At 54.4% G+C, this 18821-nt stretch overlaps 2 protein-coding genes across 6 annotated transcripts in view, besides 6 other annotated features; both read right to left on the reverse strand.

Moving 5' to 3' along the window:
* Positions 1 to 3940, reverse strand: part of CAMK2A (calcium/calmodulin dependent protein kinase II alpha) — a 70640-nt gene extending 66700 nt beyond the window's left edge. For 3 of the 5 annotated variants that reach the window (NM_171825.3, NM_001369025.2, NM_015981.4), the window contains exon 1: positions 3374 to 3583. In NM_171825.3, coding sequence (NP_741960.1) covers positions 3374 to 3435 — 62 coding nt within the window. In that variant the 5' untranslated portion in view covers positions 3436 to 3583. Of the gene's footprint in view, positions 1 to 3373; positions 3584 to 3704 lie in introns of those variants that run through there. The other 2 variants (NM_001363990.1, NM_001363989.1) reach the window with 1 other exon arrangement.
* Positions 836 to 945: a silencer, noted in NCBI's record as "silent region_16506". NCBI's record gives its function as "represses an Ori minimal core promoter by ATAC-STARR-seq in GM12878 lymphoblastoid cells {active_cell/tissue: GM12878}" and the evidence as "EXISTENCE:reporter gene assay evidence [ECO:0000049][PMID:35858748]".
* Positions 6765 to 7346: an enhancer, noted in NCBI's record as "H3K4me1 hESC enhancer chr5:149672518-149673099 (GRCh37/hg19 assembly coordinates)". NCBI's record gives its function as "activates a minimal SCP1, AML or CMV promoter by ChIP-STARR-seq in naive H9 embryonic stem cells {active_cell/tissue: H9 hESC(naive)}" and the evidence as "EXISTENCE:reporter gene assay evidence [ECO:0000049][PMID:30033119]".
* Positions 7347 to 7927: an enhancer, noted in NCBI's record as "H3K4me1 hESC enhancer chr5:149673100-149673680 (GRCh37/hg19 assembly coordinates)". NCBI's record gives its function as "activates a minimal SCP1, AML or CMV promoter by ChIP-STARR-seq in naive H9 embryonic stem cells {active_cell/tissue: H9 hESC(naive)}" and the evidence as "EXISTENCE:reporter gene assay evidence [ECO:0000049][PMID:30033119]".
* On the reverse strand, positions 10153 to 16715 carry ARSI (arylsulfatase family member I). The gene is made up of 2 exons (NM_001012301.4): positions 15873 to 16715; positions 10153 to 12422 (listed from the first exon to the last, which is right to left on the reverse strand). The coding sequence occupies exons 1-2, from the start codon at positions 16181 to 16183 to the stop codon at positions 11024 to 11026; spliced, it is 1710 nt and encodes a 569-aa protein (NP_001012301.1). The 5' UTR covers positions 16184 to 16715; the 3' UTR covers positions 10153 to 11023.
* Positions 15966 to 16506: an enhancer, noted in NCBI's record as "H3K27ac-H3K4me1 hESC enhancer chr5:149681719-149682259 (GRCh37/hg19 assembly coordinates)". NCBI's record gives its function as "activates a minimal SCP1, AML or CMV promoter by ChIP-STARR-seq in primed H9 embryonic stem cells {active_cell/tissue: H9 hESC(primed)}" and the evidence as "EXISTENCE:reporter gene assay evidence [ECO:0000049][PMID:30033119]".
* Positions 16507 to 17047: an enhancer, noted in NCBI's record as "H3K27ac-H3K4me1 hESC enhancer chr5:149682260-149682800 (GRCh37/hg19 assembly coordinates)". NCBI's record gives its function as "activates a minimal SCP1, AML or CMV promoter by ChIP-STARR-seq in naive H9 embryonic stem cells {active_cell/tissue: H9 hESC(naive)}" and the evidence as "EXISTENCE:reporter gene assay evidence [ECO:0000049][PMID:30033119]".
* Positions 17048 to 17587: an enhancer, noted in NCBI's record as "H3K4me1 hESC enhancer chr5:149682801-149683340 (GRCh37/hg19 assembly coordinates)". NCBI's record gives its function as "activates a minimal SCP1, AML or CMV promoter by ChIP-STARR-seq in naive H9 embryonic stem cells {active_cell/tissue: H9 hESC(naive)}" and the evidence as "EXISTENCE:reporter gene assay evidence [ECO:0000049][PMID:30033119]".

The raw sequence follows: 18821 nt of genomic DNA on the forward strand, positions 1-18821 counted from the left end.
GATGAGCTCATCTCTGGATCCCAAGAGACAGCCCCACCCCAACCTTCTAGGAGACCGGAATCAAGTTCTTGACTCATCTGAATTCATATGCTTCAATGGAACCTGCAGTCGAGTAGCATCAAGAGGCTCCAGTAGCCCTGCCTGGGGCCCTGGCCCCAGTCACAGGTTCCCAGAGGGCTGCCCACCAGGGCTGGAGAAGAGCAGCTACTCTCACATCCATAGCCAGCCCTATCCGGGGCTCCTCAAAGGCCTGCAGTCCTGAGCCAGACCTCACTGGGCAGGATGCCAGAAGCCCTCCAGAGGGATTTGCCCTCCTCTCCTGCTGGGCAGCCCAACGCCTTGAAGGAGACCCAAAGGCTCCCATGTGCCCTTTTAGGGCCAACCTGGCTGCCTTTTCCAGTCACCCTGCTAGTGATCTGAAGTGGGTTCTGGAACGGGGGCTTAGCTTTTGGGTGGTGACTGCAGTGTCCCAGCTGGCAGGGACGGTGGATCATCAATTGAAGGATGGGCCCTGCAGGTACCCTCATAGCTTCCTCCCACAGAAGAGGCCAGCCAGGGGGGAAGCACGGTTTGGTCAACCTCCTCCCAGCCCCGGATGGGCCAACTCCAGACAAAAGGTACAAGCAGATCCCATTCCTCACTTTCAGCCTTGCCCAGCCTTTGAGAACAACAACAGTCACCCCAGTAGCAATCGGCCCTGGGGGCCTGTCATGTGCCAGGCTCGAGGCTGCATCTCTACATGCACCATCTCATTGAATGCTCACAGCCCTTTTTATCTCCAGACTACAGGTGGGGGTAAAGAGGTAGCATAGCCTGCCTGGTGTCACAGAGCTATGGGTGATGAGGGACAGCGCCTGTGTCCCTAGTGGCTACGCAGGGCACTGCCCCTCCCTGCACCACTGGATGCTCAGACTGAAGCTGCTGTGGAGAGCAGGAGCCCCAGGCTCCTCAATGATGTGGTCTGGACTTTTTAACACAGACATCAGGGGTGCGGAATCAGTCCACTTTATCCCCTTGTCTCTAACACAAGCTTCTGCAAACTTAGGCTCATACACAGTCTTCCCGATGTCCCTGCAAGCTCCTGACATTGCATGCAACATTTCGTAGGTTTGTGCGTTTTTCTGGGGAACGTAGATTTAGACTTTCATCAGATTCCTGAAGGAATATGTGACCTAAAAAAGGTTAAGAGCAGTCTGATGGTTCTGGAAGGAAGAAGTCTGAAATTGATTAAACAAGGCCTAGCTATGCCTGCTACCCTCGGTTTTCCTGCCATGGCCACACCAGGGCTCCCTTGCCCCTGAAATTCTCTGTGAAGGCTCACGAAGGGTCTCTCTACCAAGTTGCCCCCACAAAACCCAGTCTTAATGATATCCATCTCCTCTTGGGGCAAAACATCACTTTTATTTTCACTTTGAGCACTTGAGTCACATCTCAACTCCATCTCACTGTACTCATGACGCAGTCCTGCCAGGACCCAGTCTTGGTCACTCCCTGAAAGGCAGCTTCATGGCTAATCAGGGAATTCTTGGGTTCTAGGCGAGCACTGGAAAACACCTGGAGAGGGGTCCCTGCACAAGTTTGTAGACAGCCTCAGTCCTCCAGAGCAGCCCCAAACATTTTGTTCCTGCCCCTACCCGCAAAAAAAGCACATTCAGAAAAGCTGAAAGTCTGCAGATAAGAGTGAACACACGTACACATGGGGGTATATGTGCTCAAGGGAGGTGGTGCATGCCTGTAGGATAGCCTCTGTGTGTGTGTGTGTGTGTGTGTGTGTGTGTGTGTGTGTGCAAGCAGCCTTCCTGTATACAGTCACAGGGCCACCTCCCACACATATGCAGACACCAGCATGAGCTCACACATGCCTATAACACCCATACTCCCACATAACCCTGTGAGCCCAGGCCTCACACATGCACACACATGCGTGTGCACACACACGTACATCATCCTGTGTGCATGACCCCAGTCTTCACGTAGATGTGCATATCAAGACCTCACAGGAACACCATTGTGTCCGCATCTCATATGAGCATCCTCACACACCCCTAGACCTCACACACATGTGCCTTCCTATGTGCACACAGCTCTAACCTGCCATACATGTGCACATTTAATGAGTCATGTTTACACCCTTGTTCTCATTCAACCCAGCCAACAGCACTCTTGTAATACTCACACACATGCACCCTTGCAAGGCACACTTGCATTTTCAGGCCTTACACACGAAGCACCTCTTCCTGGTGCACATGCATGAATGCTTGCACACCCTGGCAGGGCACACCAGCGTACCCCAGTGTCACAAGCAATTTCCCTCAAAAGCCCTTCTACAGCCACACACATCACTCCTCAAAATGCACACTAGTACACACACATTCAGAACTCACACCAATACACACCTGCCTCCAGGGCCCCTCCCCCCGTGCTCCTGCTGCCTCAGCAGAAACCAACCAGGGCATCGGTGCTCCTTTGCCCACAAGGCAAACTCTGCCTCCAAAATGCACCCAACCCTTGACCCATCCCAGGATCCTCCAGAAACCCAGCTGGGGACATCCAGGAATCCCTCCCTGACACTCCACACCCTACTGGGCCACCCACAAGGGCCTCCCCTCTTTCCTCATCCTCCCATCCTTCTCTACACAGCAGTCATCAGGGCAGAAAATGAGCTCTGGGCTGGGCAACTTTGCTTGTCCAGAGCCACTGCACCCTTCATACCCTAGCCCCTGAAACAGCGGTGCTCCCCGCTACAGCTTTCCTGATTTCCTCTCCCCACCTCCCAACACCCGGGAAGCCTGTCATGCTCAGATATTAACCCCTACTGTACTGACGCCCTCACTCCTGGCAGGAGCTGAGAAAGGGGAGGTAGGGAGGGAGAAGTTGGCCACTCTGTACAGTCACTGTGGGTGTCTAAAGTCAGGAAGAACTACCGGGAGCTGGTGAATTCTCTGTCACTGGAGGTATCTAAGTGGAGGGCGGATGGCCACCTCAAGCAAAACTAGAGAAGGAATTCCAGCTTTGGACCCAGCTGACTAGGAAAATCCCTTTTTAACCCTAAGTCTCTAAGAATCTGTGTGTATCCAGGTTGTGTGTACTTGTGTGCATTTTGTGTGTATGTGTGTGCACTGGCATACACTGTCAACCCTTCATCCCTACATACACACTGGCCTGGCTAGCTTGGCACATCTGTGCACCCACAAACATACCCACGCCCGACTCTGGACACTCTGTACACAGGCAGGTGCCCCCAAACCCATGCAGCCTGCCTTCATCTGTGTACAAGGAATGCTCCCCAAGCACTGCAGGCACACACACCCCACTAGAGACCCTGACCTCCCCGCCCCCCATGCCTTCCAGGACTTCCTGAGGCACAACTCACTTGCCCAATTCCTCGAAGAGCTGGTACTCTTCCGTGAAGCGGGTGCAGGTGATGGTGGCCATCCTGGCGCTGGGCAGGCAGGTGAGGCTTGGGACTGGGGGACCAGGACTGAGGCGCTGCTGCTCTGCTCCCGAACCTAGGGACCACTTGCCTGCCCGTGCTGCCGAGTGCAAACAGAGAACCGGTTTGACTGACGAGCCCGGGGCTTCTGAGCAGGGCACTGTGGCTGCTCACAGCCTCGCGAGCCTTCGTCAGCATCCAGGTCCCCATGGCAACCACCTCCAAAACGCCCTGTTCCCGTTGCCCCGGTAACTGCCTCCCCAACACCTGCCTGCCTTCCACTGCGAAACCTGCTCTCGGACGCCCTGACCATACCGCACACAATACTGCAAGCCTGTGTGGGCCTGGGGGTGGGATGGACCCAGCACCCCTGGGGTGATGGACCCAAGGAGGGCCTGGAGGAGGTGGAATAGAGCAAACTTTGTCCACAAGTGATCTTTTCTCTTCCCACCTCCCCCACCTCCAACTGTGGGGCCCTTGTAGCAGACGGGATGGGATTAAGTGGGGCAAAAAGGCAGTTGCCATGGTAACAGCCAGTGGGTGCCGCATTCCGGATGGTCCCCAGGAACGAATGACAGGATGCAGTTACCCTGGCAACTTCATCTCTAGAGAGACAGGTATTGCCCCGTTGCCCTGGCAACAGCTGGGTTCTAAGGTTTACAGGGAAATGATGGCTAATTCACAGGGATGGCTCTCCCTCTGTGGATCACTGTAGTCTCTGTAACTGTCTCTCTGTTGCCCTCTGTTTTTTTTTTTTTTTTTTTTTTGCTTCTGCCTCTGTCTTTCTTGTTATGCTCGTGCTCTTTCAGCTCTCTTACCACCTTGTCCATCACACTAGCACTCCAGCTTGGCGCAGAAGTGCAGAGGACACCCCAGGATTCTGGAGGGAACAGCCCTGACTGCCTGCTCACCCCCACCTCTCACAGCTGTGACAGTTGCTCCCCTCCAGAGCCCTCCTCTGCAACCTCTCCCCAACCCCATGCCCCCAACGGGACCATGGAAATCTGGTCTCCTGGTGCTCATGTCCCAGTTTCTGCTTGTGCTTCCAGTCAAGGTAAAAAAAAAAAAAAAAAAAAAGGCGAGAGGGGGCTGTGGGGAGGTGAGCATAGCATGGCTTACCCGGGCTAGGCCACTGGCCAGAGACTTGCCATGAAATCTTCAATCCAAAATTTTCTGGGCACCTTCCCTGCCAACTTCAACTCTTCAGGGCATCAGCCATACCTACAGCCACAAGATCTTACTCCAAGGTCTTGGAGTTAGGAAGAAAAGGGACTGGAGTTTAAGACTAAGGATCTGAGTTTGAGCTCTGATTCCTGGACATTTATTATTTATATTATTTATTTATTTATTTATTTATTTTGGAGACAGAGTCTTACTCTGTCACCCAGGCTGGAGTACAGTGGTGCAAGCTCGGCTCACTGAAGCCTCCGTCTCCTGGGTTCAAGTGATTCTCCTGCCTCAGCCTCCCAAGTAGCTGGGACTACAGGCGCACACCACCACGTCTGGCTAATTTTTTGTGTTTTAGTACAGACAAGGTTTCACCATGTTACCCAGGCTGGTCTCAAACTCCTGAGCTCAGGCAATCCACCTGCCTCAGCCTCCCAAAGTGCTAGGATTACAGGTGTGAGGCACCATGCCCGGCCTTTGGACATTTATTAGCTGAGTGATCACGGGCAAGTCACTCACCCTCTCTGAGCCTCCAGCTCCTTTTCTACACAACAGGGGAATGAAGATGCCCTGCAGGGGAAGGCTGTGGAGATGGAGTGGGCTAAGGGCTGTGAAGGCCTTTGGGAACTATGTAAATAGGAGGCCTCTTTCTAGGCTCTAGAGGAGGAAAATGAAGGTTTAAAGCTGGCCCGTGACCACCCCATCACTCTAGCTTGGGCTTGGCATCTCAGACCCTGCATACCCCTTCCCCTCTCCACTGAGGAAAAAGGGTGCCTTGGCCCATTTCGCAGCTTGATGGGCAGAGGCTTCATGCCAGCACCTGCCCCCAGCGAGCATGGGTTGGATAAAAGGATCCAGGCATCCAGACCCTCAGGGATTCTAGCCCACCCGCTCTGAACCTCCACATTGCCTTGCTAGTCCTCTCACTTGCAGGACATGTTATCTGCTTGTTGGTATTCTCCAACCCCATGAAGTCCCTGACTCACTACCCTACTTGCAGGGGCCCCCTGGAGACATCTGGATAACCCTCCCATTCTGCCCTTCTTCCTGGGAGTGGGCTGTGGGGGAGAATAAAGGGTGAGCTCACCCATTCAGCCGCTGTTCCCAGGAGAGGAGAGGGAGGGTGGGAGAGGGAGGGTGGCAGAGGGGAAGAGGGGAAGTGAGCAAGGGAGGAGGGGGGTAATGGCTTAGCCACTAATTGCACCATTACCACCTTTGGGAAAAGGGAAAACCACTCAGTTTTGTTTCTGCGCACAATATGCTTCCCGCTTCTGCCGCCAACGTTGCAATTCAGAGGCAGAGTGGAGAGGCCTATGCCTGGGGGCCGCACAGCCAGTGGGCAGCAGGCAGGGCACAGAACACGGTGGCCAAGCTACAGGCCTATGTGGGGAGGTGGGGGAGGGCTGCACTGCCACCCTCCTGTCCCAGACCCTCTAGCCTGTCCCCCAGGAGGGGATGGCTTCCACACAAGAAAGTGCTGGAAGAGCCCTTAGTGACCACCAAGGCCACCTGCCATTGCACAGGGACAGGAGAGGCAGTGTTGCTTAGTAGTTAGGGTGACTCCACGACTTACGGGCTATGTGATTTTGGATGAATATCCTAACTTCTCCGTGCCTCTGTGTCTTCATCTGCATAATTGGGTCAATAATATTCCCTACCTCCAGGCTGTTCTGTAGATTAAATGAGACAAGCACAGTGGCTGACACTATAAATGCTCAATAAATGGGAAATTATAATCAAGAAACTCAAAAGTCCTCTCCCCTCACACACCACTCCCTGAATCACGGAAGCACACACCATCATCTTGAGTCCCAGCACTTCAGGGCACTGTTCCCTTAGTCTGCACTGGAGTTTAGCTCATGGTTTGGAAATCACCTTGTCTAAGCCTAGTTTGCAGCAATTTCTGTAGAACAAAGAACTAGAGCTAGAAGGAGAGGAACCACAAGGCTCTCCAGCTCATCGGGTGCCAAAGGAATGATGATGCTGTTTTAAAAATTCACAGTAAAACAAAAAAGCAACTATGCTGTGAGATTATGAGGCTGTATTAATGGAAATCTAATGTTCTGAACTGGGACAGTCCTGCGTGGCTGGGTGCTGGCCTGACCCCTGTTTCCTCTCCCGATTCCCACTGATGAAATGGAGCATGCTCAGAAGTGAGCAGAGCACATGGGGAAGACCCTGGCATCAGGTCCCTCAGAGGAAGGTGTGAAGGAATGGAGGCAGGAAGATGGCCACCTCTCTCCCTGTATGTGATGTGGACCACGGGGGCAGCCTCTGTGGCTGCTGGGAGCAGGGCCAGCACAGCCCCGCTCCTGTCATCTCTTTCTTCCCTACTTCCATCTCTCCTTTCCACTCTCCTTTCTTCTCTCCTCTTGCCTTCCCCTCTCCCTCATTTTTCCTGTTCCCTCTTTTGCATCCTTCCTTCTCAGTTCTCCGTCTTTCTCATCTTTTTTACTTCCTTTCTGGTTTCCAGCTCCCTCTCTTTCTGTCACTCTTCTCTCCCTCCCCTGCTGGCCTGCACTGTGCATGCGGTCCTGGGGGATGGGCAAGTTGAGGGCTGCAGGATCCAGATAGCAGAGAGATGGCTGGAGAGGCAGAAGAGAGAAGAAGAGGAGGGAGAAGAGGAAGAAGTCCCCTCTGAAAGTCTTACACATGAGCACACACACACACCCCTCTGAGCCTTCCAGAGCCTAGCTCAGCGGTGTGGGCACTGCCTCGGACAGGCACCCCCCACCTTCCTGAGGGTAATAGCCACTCTGCTGAGAAGGCATGACTGCTAATTCACCACCTCCCCTGAGCCCGCGAGGCTAGCAGCTGTGCCCGGTGGTGGCGGGCACTGAGGAGCCAGCCGTGCCTCTGTGGCGCTGAGAGAATGAGCCGATGATTGCAGGAGGGGGACTGTTCCTGCCAAACTCCCCACTCCCCAGGGCCAAAGCAGACACGAGAGGCAGCACGTGTGCCCCCATCTGCAACACGCGTGTGGTATTCGAGAGCAGGCCTCCATGCTATGGGCTGGTCGCCAGGGGTGGGAGCCCTGGAGGTTGCTGAACCCAGTCCTGACATGCCAGAATAGGGATTGGCACGTGAACACAGGCAGTGCTCCACAGAGACAGAAGGGATGAAAAGTGACCAGGGCTGGGTTCCTGCATGGGTGATTGTAGCCCCAGTGGCATTGTGACAGCTGACTCAAATCCCACCTTCCACAGCCCACACACATATGCCCAAGTGCCCCAGGGTCCTGCAGGGCCTGGGCAGGCACCACAGAAAGTGTGCCATCCAAAGGGTCCCCACAGGGCCTGTCCCACTAAGGGCAGTGAGCATGGGGGGCAGAATTGGTGGAAAGTGGGCCAAGAGAGAAATGGTCCTGCTGAGGGTCTGGGTGGAGGGAGATTGGGTTCATTCATTGCAGTAAGTAAGGCTAGGCCTACATGAAGAAGTGGGGGAAGTCAGGGATCAGGGAGCAGAACTGTCCCTGAGGTCTCCCACACAGGAGGCACTCTTGCAGGGGAGAGTGAAGCAGAGAGCCATGGGACAGAGGACAATGGCTACTGGGCCGATGGCTGCATAGCACTCCTTGCAGTTAGAGGACCTGAGTTCGAGTCCTGGAAGAGCTTGCAGGAGGTCTCCCCAGTAGAACCTCCACTTCCTCCTGAGAAAGATGGAGCCCAGAGCACTGGCCCTCCATCCAGGTGTGGGGCTATCACTTGGCCCTTGGGGAATGGGTTACCAGAGCCCAGGACTCTACTGGCAGGGCCCAGCTTGGACAGGCTGCCCCCTGGCTCTGGCCCCTACAGCTGGCAGATCAGCTGCCATCTGGTGCAGCCAAGGAAGAAACAGGGGGTCTCACCAGGCATCTCTGGGCTCCACTTCCCCAGATCTGTGGCCCGAGGGACCGGAGCTGCCTCTGATCTGCCCTCCCTTCCCTCCCCACAAGCACAGGTGCTCAAATGGTACGAGCACCTGCCTGGCAGTGCCAGTTGGCGGCCTGGCACAGAGTCCAGACCCAGGTGCCCCGGCTGGAGGAAACTTGGGCCACAGGAGATGGGAGGGGGCTGGCAGGAGCCATGCTGATTGCTGGGAAGAGCAGAAGTCACCACAGGCTGAGCCTGTTATCGTAGTGCTTGAGTGCTCTGGGGCACCCAAGACCCTCCACCAATCTCAGGCCTAGGCCAGCCGCCAGCTCCTCTAGACCAGGTTGCAGGCTCAAGCTTGCGTGGGGCCACCGGGCTGTTTGCTGAGCGCTGGGTTGGGTAGGACTCAGCTAGGCAAGCTCTGGGCTGGATTTGAGACTGGACCAAGACCTGGGGTCAAGTCTCCTTCTCAGGGCACCAGGAACAGGTGCCAGCCCCATCCCCAGCTAGTCTTTCTTGGTTTAGGTTGGTCACAGGCAGTAAGCCTCGGTGATTAGGGGACAGCAGAAAGGGCCATTCACGGTCCTGCACTTGCGGTGCCAAAGGGCAGGGGCCCTGGGAGAGAAGTGGGGGCTGGAGCTGGAGGGTAAGCCTCGGGCAGGGCTGACTCAGCAGGCACAGGAGAGGCCTCCATACAACTCGTGCAAGCCCGGAGTGGCAGGGAAGCCTTGGCTCCATGCCACCCTGGAAAGGCCCCACCCACACAGCTGGGACAAGCACCCAGCAGAGCTAGAGTACCCTGAGGAGTGGGCGAACTACGGACAGCTCATCTCCCAGGGTGTGTCAGGCCTGGGCCACCGCCCTAACAGGTGACTTACTTCTTCAGAGCCTCCCTCCTGAGCAGACTGAAATGCTGGAGGTCACTGGAATCCAGAGGCCTCTGCCTATCCTGGCTCCTGCCCCACGACACAGCTGGGAATCAACATCATAGAGGCAGGGAAAGATGCTAGTTGGGGGAGGTGATAAGGGGTAAAAAGAATAGGGCCAGGAGGAAGGGGCTTAGAGCATGAATGGTCACCTCCACCCAACAGCCTCAGGCCAGACCCTCACTCCTGGACTCAGCCACATCTGCAGTGGGGATGGAACTCTGTAACCAATACCTGAACCCCCACACATACCGCACCCACCCCACCCCACCCATCCTGCTCATCCACAAGCTGATGAGTCCTAACAGGCCTCCTTTGCCAGTGACAAAAATAACTATTTTAAAAATTCACAGCAGGGCTTTCGCCTACACACACTGCGCCGACTGGAACCTGAAGGGAGATATGCAGAACGCAGTGTGCGGATGGAGGCGCGCTAGGCGGCAGGCGGGCTCTGCAACACCCGTGGCCTCCTCGCTACCACTCAGCCTGCCCCCCACCCCAACACACACACATGCACACTAGCCCAGAATGGCCAAATGGGAAGTGCTCTTAGATCATCACTGAACATAGTGGGATGTTGAGGCCCAGAGAGGGTCAGGGATGTGCCTGAGGTCACATAGTGGGTCTGTGGCAGGACTCCCATTCCCCCACCGCCTAGCCAGGCTGTCCACCTCCTCTCCTGTTCACTCGGCCGACCGTGAGCTCATACCTGCCCCCAGGACACACATGCACACACCCACACATGCTCATAGTCAGACAGCACTGCATCCCTCACTTCCATGTTACGACACTTTAATCAAGTTCACAAGCTCCTCCACAACCTTGGCCAGTCTTCCAGAGCCTCATGAAGGAGGCAGAGCCAGGGCTGGCATCCCCACTTGCAGGTGGGGAAATCAAGGCCTAGAGGGCAAGAACTGTGCCCCAGGTCACAGGAGAACCCAGGTGTCCTGGTACTGGTTTGGGGGCTCTTCACAGCTCTTTCTACCACCCTTGGTGCTGCAGCAGTTAATGGCCCAGCCAGTTTCTCTGGGTACTGGAGGGGCCAGAAGAGGAATTTTGCACCACGGTGCCTGACACCAGTCTGACCGGAGGACTGGCCTAGGCCATGTGAAGACCCAAGAAGGTCAACCCCCCCGACCCCTGCCCTCCACCCACAGCGCTTGGGGGTCCCTGTAGAGAGCAGCCAGATTGCCATGCTTCAGCTGGGGGCCAGGCTTGGAGTTGCCTCCAGGCAACTCCCAAACACCACCACAGGGATCCCGTGTTAAGGGGGAAGCCTTAAAGGAGTTGTCAAGTGGCAAGGCCGGCCAGGAACTCCACCGTGGCCCCAGGCTCCAGGGCCACACCAAAGAGTCACAAAGTCATTAGAGCTCATTTTACAGATGAGGAAACTGAGGCTAAAAGCTCATGTGGGTCACCTGAGGTCACAGAGCAAGTCCGTGAGGAGGCAGGACTGAGACACAGGCATCCCAGTCTGGTTTATTCCCACCCACTCCTATCCAGGCTCCCTACCCTGTTCAACCAAGGGACTCTACACCCTCCAACTCCCTGTAGATGGAGATGTGACAGGCTTCTCCCTGAGAAACAGCAGGGCCAAGCCGGAGTGGGGAAGATCCTCTAAAGGACAGTTTTCTCCCTCCCCACCATCAGATCCGTTGGGACATTAGCCTGGTGTTGAGTTTACGGAAAAAGGATCGAAGCTTGCAAATCTTGCATTTTTTCTTGCGACGACCCCGGGAGAAGCTTCGAGCCCTCCCTTCCTCTTCCTCCTCTTCCTCATCACTGGCCCAGGGCCCCCAAGCACCCCCATTAAAGTCAGGATGAGCCCGGGGGTTCTCAGCTGGGTAGCGTACCGGGATGGCTGTGCGGTTATATTCGGCCAGGCGAGCCAGCAGGGTGCGGACCACATCAGGCCGCTGGCCAGCCAGGTCCTCCCGTTCATAAGGGTCAGCACTGATGTTGAAGAGCCACACGGCCTGGCGGACACTGGCCATTCGTTCCAGGTTCCACCAGCTACCCGGGAAGGTGGCCAGTGTCTGCGGTGGGATCCAATCGCCATAGCCGGGGTCTCCTGTCAGCAGCTTCCACTCACCCACGCGGATGGCAGCCTGCACGGCGGTGTTCCAGATGCCAAAGCCGCCCTCCAGGGAGCCATGCTGGGCATGGTTGTAGAGTGGGTCAATGTTGTGCAGGATCTCCGTGCGTGGTGAGGCCCGGCCCTCGCTGATGGCCGGCCACACGTCGTAGCCATCTAGCCCATCGGCTGCTGAGGTGGTACCACCTGCCAGACCCACCAGGGTCGGGTACCAGTCAGTGATGTGCATCAGTGCCCGGCTTGTCCGTTGCTTTCGCTTGAGCAGGGGACTGTGGACAAAGCCTAGGCCCCGCACGCCACCTTCCCAATAAGTGCCCTTGCGTCCTCGGAGCGGCCAGTTGCTGCCCCCCGAGAAAGTCTGGCCACCATTGTCACTGGAGAAGATGATGACACTGTTGTTGTAGAAACCGTAGCGCTTGAGGGCCCAGGTGATGTTGCGCACAGCCTCATCCATGCAGGTCACCATGGCCGCGTACTTCCGCCGGGCCACATTGCCCATGGTGCGGTAGCGGTACAGGTACTCACGAGGGGACTGCAGGGGTGTGTGTACTGCCTGGAAGGCCACATAGAGGAAGAGGGGACGCTGAGGGCTGTGGCTGGCCAGGATATGGCTGGCGCGCTGGGCATAAAGCATAGTGGAGTACTGGCCGCTGAGCCCCCAGGCCACATTCTCACCCTCGTGCAGGTCGAAGCCGCACACGCCTGGGCCATCACAGTTGTCATAGGTGTAATAGTCCACATTGCCCGTGAGCGAGCCCAGGAAGGTGTCGAAGCCCCGACGGGTGGGCAGACACTCCTTCCGGTAGAAGCCCAGGTGCCACTTGCCCACCATATGGGTGGAATAACCTGCCTCCTGCAGCTTCTGTGGCAGTGTCACCTGGTCCAGGGGCAGGCAGTTGGGCTGCTGTGGGCGGATGATGGAATGCTGGAGTCCTGTGTGGATCTGGTACCTGGTGGGGAGGAGGGGAAGGCACAGAAGGCACAGGTAAGCTACAGACCATTGCTCTGGCCATCCAGTCCCCAGTACCACTGTGAGGTGGGCTGTGGTCCCAGCACTACCAGCAAAAATAATAACAGTAACCACCAGGTACTATCTACTATGCTAAGCACCTCAAATGCATTATCTCATCGAATCCTCAAAATCACTGGAAGTAGATCATATTGTCGTTTTACAGATGAGGAGATTGAAGCTCAGAATGGCTAAGCCACTCACCCAAGATCACACAGCTAGGAAGTTGGAGAGATAAAAGTTGAACCCAGGGTAATAATGACAATAATAATAGCTAATACCGAGCACTCACTGTGAGCTTGGCATTACACTAATCCTCTTATGTGAATTATCTTACTTAATCCTCACCACAAATTCAGAGGTACATATTATTGTTCCCATTTTCCAAATAAGGGAACTGAGGCTTGGTAAATTAAATTAGTTGCCCGGTGACTCACACGGCTAGTAGTTGGAGTGGGATTTATAACCCAAGCAGTCTGGCTCCAGACTTCGGAATCCCTAAGCTCTAAGCTATTAACTTGCACTGGGGCCTAGAGCAAGCCCTGCTTTCCCAGGCAAACTCTTACTCACTCTTCAAAGCTCAGTCCAAATGTTATCCATGCTATAAAGTCTTTCATAACTCTCCCAAAGAATTAGTCACTTTTGCTTCTGGGTTCCCCTAGCATTTAGTACACACCATCGTTTTCTTACTTGGCCGTGGGATTATACTCGTCTGCACATGCTCTTGCGCCCAGTGACATGTGATGAGACTGTCCTTTATTCAACCTTCTATTCCTAGCACCCAAGTGATGTTCAAAGAGCACTCAATTATTTATGAAATGAATGAATGAATGACACTTAAGAGGGTTTTAGAGCCAGAAGGGACCCAATTCATTCTCTAGTTTACTCACCTCATCTTAAAAAGGACCTAAGGTCTTTTTAAGGGAAGGGGAAGGGCCTTAACTGAGGTCGCTCGGTGGTCAGGAACAGAGCCAGGACTTGAACATAAATCCAAGCAGAGTCTAAGCAGGGACTCTTTTTCAGCAAACTGGGCTGCCGTATCTCTTCCCACATGGGGGCCTCAGTTTGCTCCCGTATAGGAGTTGGTTGAAATGGGAAATCTCTAAGACTCGTCTAGTTTCCCAGTTTTTTAAGACCAGCTCCCAAGTGCCTGCCTGTGAGCTCATATGACCCCTTGATCCAGGCTATCACCCTGAGGCAGGAGTAAATGGTTAGGCAAATCCTGAATTCCTCATTTATCCATTCATATCCCATCTTCCCCCTTCTGTGGTCAAGGCTCCCATGTGATCTGCTTATGGTGTCTTGCCTTTACTCAAGTCTTGAAAGTCCCAGAGTAAATAAGAAGCCTGGAACTTCACAAGTATGTTAAAATCCCACACCTTTTTCTCACCTCCAGGCATCCAAATTAATCCAAGCCCTGAATACCTGACATCTTTAACCAGAGCACAGGAGTGAGTTTCTGTTTTGGTTTCCTTATCTTAAAGCTGTTATTGTTGTTAGCTCTAATTAGCTACTACTGCCATTTTTAACACTATGTGCCATACACATACATTATCTCATTTAACTCTCATTTTAAAAACCTACAGGGAAGTCTATTACCACCCCCATTCTACAGATGATAAAACCAAGTCCCCCGAAAGTGCAGCAATGACCCAAGTTCAGAGAGCTGACAAGCAGTGGAGCTAAGCTTTGAACCTGGGTCCACTCAAGTCATGCTCAAAATCTTTTGGTGATAACGGCCTCTCCAGGCCTCAATCAAGCTAATAAATTATTGGATTTGATATGAGAAGCACCCTAGGGCCCTGAGTCCCAACTGGGCCGGTCTTCATAGAGGTGGGGTGCTGTGGAGCGCTGGCTTGTAAAGCGGATGGGCCAGCTAAGAGTCACCAAAGCCCACCTGCAAGTGAGTCACAAGAGAAACTTTGCCTCTCTCCAGTGTCACAAAACACAACTGGATGTGTTAACAAACACTAACGAGGGCTGTAAGCATCAATGAGATGGAGCCAGCTGCAGGGTGGGGGAGGGCAGGCACTGGCCGGCCACCTTCAGTTAGCTTCGCAGATCAGGGGACTGGAGCACTGCCCTCCTGCTGTCTGCTCATTCCGCTACTTAAACCAAAAGTCACCTCTTAGGACAGAAACGCTAAGTTGTGTATAACTCTTGGGAATGCAGACTCCTCCACCCTCTTCTGCAGGTCAACATTGGTCTTCACCACTACACCACTAACCTGCACCACCACCCCAACCCATACACACCCCACACCCCTCCTTCTTTCTTCTGTTCTCCTTCTGATTCCTGGATCTAAACGCTGGGTGCCAGATCGAAGGAACAAAGGACGCCATTTGATGCCCAGCTCCGGGACCCCCGCCAAACACCTGGCCTCTCAATCCTATCTCCCACAGACCCTGAAGTTGGGCACGGGCACCAAACTAGGCCCTCCCTGAGTCCTTGCCTCAATTTCTCCCATCCAAGAAATAGTGAGACTAAGAAACAGGGAGACTAAGGCTTCTGGTTCCTGAGATCACATTAGTGGCTCTTGGGTGGAACTTGGGAGAAAGCATGCCTTGGACCCCATCCAAGGAGAATTAGCTTCAGCACTGCCAAAGGATTTTCTCCTAAGTGGCCAGAGTTTGCCTTCCATACCCCCACCTCCTGTTTCCCTGCTCTTTTAATCCTGTAATCCTGCTGCCTCGCCTGTGGACATTTCCTTGTGGAGGAAGCAGCATGTCTACTTGGGGCTCCCAGCCAACTTGGGAGGATTTTGCAGATGAAAAAACAGAGGCTCAGAGAAATGAAGTAACCACCCTAAGGCTACACAGGTCATGGTATCCTATGTGTCTTTCTCTTCCACCTATCAATTCCTTGGTCTTCTCCCAATGTATTCATCAAGCAGTATGGGGACCTGAATCCCTCAGGAGACATAGAGGCTGCCATATATTGACAGCCAAGCAGGTTACACACAACTCATTCCAACTTTGCCACTCCTTTTCAAGATGAAAACTGTTCTTTGCTCCATTTTATGGACAAGAAAACTGAGGCTTAGAGAAATTAAATGACTTGCTCAGGGTCTCGGGGTCCATAAATAGAAGCAGCAGTAAATGTCAGAGGCTGCCATGTTCCTCTAACAAAGGGATGACCAGATGTCTCCACGTTGTGTGGAATGTGAGTGTCCTGGAACATCAAAGCAAGAAGACCTCAAAGATGATGAAGCCCATTCAGTGTAAAGGAAGGGTAATTGAGGCCTAGAGAGGGCGAGGGACTTACTAATGATTACACAGCCAACAGGAGATTTCCCAGATCCCAGCATGGGGTGGTACTGGCAGGAGAAATCTATCAACTGGGTTGATTTGGGGTTTAGATGCCCAGCCCCGGGGCCTTGAGCCACGCCTACCTGCCAGTGAGGAGCTGGCTCCGCGAAGGCGTGCAGATGGGCTGGATGTAATAATTCTCCAACTTGACCCCCTTGGCCGCCAGCCTGTCCAGCGTAGGGGTCTCGATATCTGAACCATGGTAGCCCACGTCGTGGTAGCCTTGGTCGTCCGTGAGGATGAAGATGATGTGGGGAGGCTGGGGCGGAGCGGCCGAGGGCTGCTCGCCAGCCTCCCCGGGCCCGTCGGCCACGAAGCTCGGCTTGGCCCAGTCCCAGGACAGGTAGCCGAAGCTGAGCAGGCTGACCAGGGAGAAGCCAGTGAGGGTGTGCATCGCCAAGCCGGCCCGCGCGTCCCGGCGCGCCGGGCTCCTGGGGCCTCACCACCTCGCGCGCCCAGGGCGCACCACCGGCCCGCCGGCTCGGATGCTGCGAGGGAGTTCAGCGCCCCCCGGGGACGGTCCAGTGTCTGGTCCGGGACTGGCTGCCGGACGGCTGGGCCGGATCTGCTCGGCCGCAGCGGGGCGCTCTGGGGAGGTCAGGCCCGCGCCGAGCTGCCTCCCGCTGCCTAAGCGCAGGCCCTGCGCCGCCTTTGCTCCCTCTTCCCCAGCTCAGCCCGGCCAGCCTGAGACGCGGCGTGGCAGCTTCCAAAAAGTGCTCTCTACCATCCTCTGACTCCCCTCTTCCTTCTTGCCCTGGATTTCTCCCGCCTCCTAATTTCTCTCTCCTCTGCTTTCCCGGCCTCTCGCCCCACCCGGAGTCCTTAAAACAGCCCAGCTCCCTGCAGGGAGGTGGGCAGGACCCCAGAGGGGAAGGGGAGGGAGGCACAAGTTGGGCGGGTCGAGGGGACACGGCGGGAGAGAATTCGAAAAAGTTGTAACATCTGCCGGGCCGGGCCGAGCCCCAGGTGGAGGGGCGGGACGCAGAGCAGCGGCTCCACCTCCCGGGCGGGAAGCCCCGGCCCTCTCGGCCTGCTGGCTCCAGCGCCCGCCCCTGACCGGGATGGGGAAAGGAGGGAGTGGGGCTGCTTGGAATTCGATGGAACAGCTCCAGAATGGCTGGGTCAGACATTCCTCGATCATGGAGTCTTAGCCTCTCTGAGTGCCAGCCCTGGAAGGAAAGCCCATCATTTCCTAGTCCAACCGGGTCATTCTACAGATGGAGAAACTGAGGCCCGGAGATGAGCCTCAACGCGTCTAAGTCACAGAACAAGTCAGTGGCTATGTCTCTAAGGCTCACCGTGGCTGTTGGAGTGGCGGCTCCCTTCGGTGAGCCGGTAGAGAAAGCGATGGAGAATGGCAAGCACTTTGGCAAGCCCCCGCGGCTGCAAGTCAGGAAGCTTGGTTGTAGCCTTGCCAGCTCCCCTCTCCTCAACCCCTCCCTCCTCCTCGTTCTGCAGTTCCCAACTAGAATCTTAGAATGCCAGCGCTGGAATCCAGAGGGCAGGGGCTGTTTTATCCATCTCGTATCCACAGGGTGCAGCACACAGTATAAGCTCAATCAGTATATGTTGCATGAGTGAATGGATGAATGGGCCCCAATGGTCACCTAGGCCAGCCTACCCAAGGAAACCTCCACACCAGAGAAGGCAAGCTTGGGGGACTCTGGAACCCGATGAGCATCATAAATGAGTAGAGCAAGAGATAGTTGTCTTGCCCTAAGGAGACACAGGGGCTGCAGCAAGTTAAAAACCACAGCCTGGCTTCCAGCTGACTACAGTCAGGCAAGAATACGGACCAGTGTTTCCAGATCTTCTGATTTTTCAAGAGGAATACCCTCTTTATCTATTAGGAGAACTATTCCAATTGTGAAATGTTAGTGACTAATTGAAAGCAAAATTTAAGCACTTTGTAGGCCAAATCAGACCTCTCCCAGGAATATATCAGACCATCGGTGCCGGTTTGCAAGCTCTGCTCTGCATCATTGTTTTGCAAAATTTTACTAGGCTACATTTTTAAATGGAAAAACTGGGCTAAACAAAACCAGTTAGGCTTCTTTACTTCTAGGATTTCAAATGTTTAACATGCACACTGCTGATCTGCAGGAGGGGCTGGTTAGGCTGTATTTCCCAGTGTTATGTTACCATGGACCCTCTTTCCTGCTCCCCCCACCCCCCAACCAGCTTCTTGAAGGGCCAGTGTTTGGGGACTTTGGGAAGCAAAGACTGCCCAGGTGCATCTTCTCTCCTAGCATCTTTCCCCTGCCAAGATTCTGTCATGATCCCTTCCCTCTTACTTAAAACCACTGCGTGTGGGGAAAGAAACCAGACCTCCAAAATAGCAGCCCGTGTGAATCTGCATTTTGAAATGAGGGCTGCGTGGGGCCAGCCGCTCCCATTTGCTCAAAGCCCCATATTTAGGGTGACCAGATTTATCAGAAGGGAAAACTGAGCTTGTTGTTCTGGCAGAAGACATGTTGAGGACAGACAGGAAAAATACAGCCTCCTGAGGGGAAGGCTGCTAAAATGGTGCTTCCAGAGGCTTCCACAAGGCTGTCTGTCCTGGGGGGTCGAAGTGGAACAAGTCACCAGAGGTCAGGTGGACTAGGGTTTTGCATTCTTTCTATTGCCCCAGGGCAAAAGGAACTGGGCAGGGCTGCCTCCCTTCTACTCCAAGCACAAAGAGAAGCAGCAAGGGGATGGGGTGGGGGTTCCACCTGGATCAAAAAAGGCCCAGGGAGGAAAGGTCACAGGCGGCAGACCTCTGTGGGGCTGTCACTGAGACAAGTAGTATTTCAGAATTCAAGACAGTGGGCTCTGCTATCAGACTATTTGAGTTCAAATCCTGCCACTCATTTGGGGTCTGGCCTTGCACAAGTTATTTCACCTCCCTTAGCCTCAATTTCTTCATCTGTAAAATGGGATAATAGTATATATAAGATCTACTACAATGCTCAGTAAAGTGCCCAGCACACAGTAAGCACTTGGTGAATGTGAATGGTTACGATGATTGTTCTCTGTGCTTTTGAGAGGAA

Source organism: Homo sapiens, chromosome 5 (assembly GCF_000001405.40).
Source record: "Homo sapiens chromosome 5, GRCh38.p14 Primary Assembly".
Taxonomy (NCBI): domain Eukaryota; kingdom Metazoa; phylum Chordata; class Mammalia; order Primates; family Hominidae; genus Homo; species Homo sapiens.

Excerpts from the sequence above, each read along its gene's own strand:
- ARSI (NM_001012301.4), bottom strand. The coding sequence starts at position 16,183 with ATGCACACCCTCACTGGCTTCTCCCTGGTCAGCCTGCTCAGCTTCGGC. Across the intron at positions 12,423-15,872 it reads AGCCAGCTCCTCACTGGCAG|GTACCAGATCCACACAGGAC; the intron begins GTAGGCGTGGCT and ends CCTCCCCACCAG.